Here is a 2,284-nt window from a genome sequence, read left to right as displayed (position 1 = left end):
TGAAGCATTTTTGCTGACCCAGTGTGAGATGGGTTGGACCAAATTCAATTTAGCTGCAGTCAACAGGAAAGTAGGAAGAAAAATAGGATCTAACAAACCAAGCATTAAAAAAAGAGGGAGTCCACAGCAGGAAATAATTATTTGGGCAATTGTTCACTTTGTTAAAGGACCAGCCCGTATGAATATCCATCAGGATGCAGTGCTGTGTCCGTGGTTTCTCCGCAGCACCCTGTCTGGTCTAATTAGTTACAAAAGCAGTTCTATGGGCTGGAGAAATGTGCAATTGTGTTGTGTTTCAGGGGAACAAACACATATGTCATTGAAGTGGAGTCTGGCACCAGCTTATTTTGGTGAAACCTCGAGTGGTCGGCCAGAATGGAATCAATACGAAAGGAAGCTCTGAATGCCAACAGAAGTGGTTTACAAAAATAATTCACTGACCATTCCATCTGCCTCGGATTAAGCGTGTTAAACGGTTCAGTTCAAGTTAACATTTCTAATATATAGATATACATAAAATAAACAAAACCACATACTTTTATCAAATATTTGCATTTGAAAACCTCCACTAACATACACACACCCAGAACTCAGCCTGTGCTCTTTCATCTGACCGTATACTTTTCCCCTCAGAACATTTACACTAAAAACATGGAATCTGAAAGAAAACTCAGATTGGCCCACTAGAGAAGAGTAAACCCCCTGTGGAAAGGAAAGTGAAAATAATATTTTCAGAATAAAAATCTTTCAGTCTGTAAAAGGAGTTTTATAGCTCAGTCTTGGGAAAGTCAGCCAAAGGTTCACCTGACATGTGAACAGAGCAGGTCTTGGGGAATCAAGGCTTAGCAGATTTGTTCATTCACAGTCCTGACAATGGGTGCTGGAACCAAATCAATAACCTGTCGATATTGCAAAACTATCAGTTTGCATAGAAAGTCTACTATATGCATTTTTTAATTGCATAAATTAGAATCTAAGGAGACATGATGCCACAGATAAATAACAAATAAAAATGTCAACACATATTGAATACTTACTAAGTTAAATACTGCTCATGTAATCTCTGTAACCACACTGAGGCAGGCATTGTATTACTATCTCGATTTAGCAGATGTGAAAACTTAAGCACAGAGTGGTTGAGTAACTTGCCCAAGATCATACAGCCAGGAACTACAAGAGGCCTGGATTGGAACCTGGGCCATCCAACTCCGGATCATGCTCTATTCTACTCCCCAGTGTACACAAAATAGGCAAGAGAGGTGTCACACAGGAAGCCAGAGCAGTTTCCCACAGCAAGTCCTAGGAGCAGACAGGGTGAAATTAATCTACTCATTGGCAGGCCTTTGCCTCCCATTCACTCCCTTCACACAGTAGGCCATGAAACAAAGGGGCCCTGCATCCACTCAATCTGTACTGCAATCCTTTGTTCCCCACCTGCCTACCCTGGGGACTCTTGCCCCTTACCTGTGGAAGGAGGGTGAAATGGGATAGCTTTTCACAGCCCAGCAGGGAAAAACAAACAAACAAACAAAAAAACAAAGCCAGCTGCTTCCCTGGGAACAAATTCCTAGGCTTGGCTAAAGAATGGCTTTGCAGGCCATCAATGTCAAGTTCAAACTCTGCAAATGAGCATATCCTGCCAGATCAAGTAGCTCTAGAGATTCTGCTTCCCTGTAGGGTCCCACGACCTGTGCTCCAGCTTATCTGGTAAGGAAGCAGAGGTGGACCAGGAAGACAAAGGCAGAAGGACTCGGGAGCACATGCTCCTACACGCATTTGACGCAGCTTGTCTCGGTGAAGCCTCACAGGATCCTGTGTGGCTGATGAATTCAGAGTGTGTAAGTGGCTTGATGAAAGTCACACGCATAGTGAATGGCAAAGTGAGGATTCAAGCCGAGCTCTGACTCCTAGCCCTCACTTTGTTGGCTTGGTGATGCTTGGCAGCCCAGCCAGCAAACTCAAATGCGACTTGGTATGAGTTTTTCAATGGTGCCCTTACTCCATGCACTGCCAGCAAAATAGCACAAAAATGATAAAATCGGTGAGAGGATTGGCACCCCCAAAGAGGGCAGCCCTGATGCTGGAGGACAGGGGCTCAGGTCCCTGAGACTGGTCTAGTGAACCTCCGCTAATAGGGTCCTTGGCTTTAGTCTGCGAGCAGCATGTGAGCTCATGCGGCTCCTGGGTCAGGCTGAGCAAGACTGTGGAGTGTTTCCAGCACTCAAGGTGACGGGAAATGTTGAGCAAAGTAGGTGCAAAGCCTTGTCTAATATTTCCATTTACC

General features: G+C 44.5%; 1 annotated feature.

Moving 5' to 3' along the window:
• Positions 1,047-1,915: an enhancer, noted in NCBI's record as "OCT4-NANOG hESC enhancer chr7:33744844-33745712 (GRCh37/hg19 assembly coordinates)". NCBI's record gives its function as "activates a minimal SCP1, AML or CMV promoter by ChIP-STARR-seq in naive H9 embryonic stem cells {active_cell/tissue: H9 hESC(naive)}" and the evidence as "EXISTENCE:reporter gene assay evidence [ECO:0000049][PMID:30033119]".

Source organism: Homo sapiens, chromosome 7 (genome assembly GCF_000001405.40).
Source record: "Homo sapiens chromosome 7, GRCh38.p14 Primary Assembly".
Classification (NCBI taxonomy): domain Eukaryota; kingdom Metazoa; phylum Chordata; class Mammalia; order Primates; family Hominidae; genus Homo; species Homo sapiens.
This window is presented reverse-complemented; position numbering and strand designations above follow the sequence as displayed.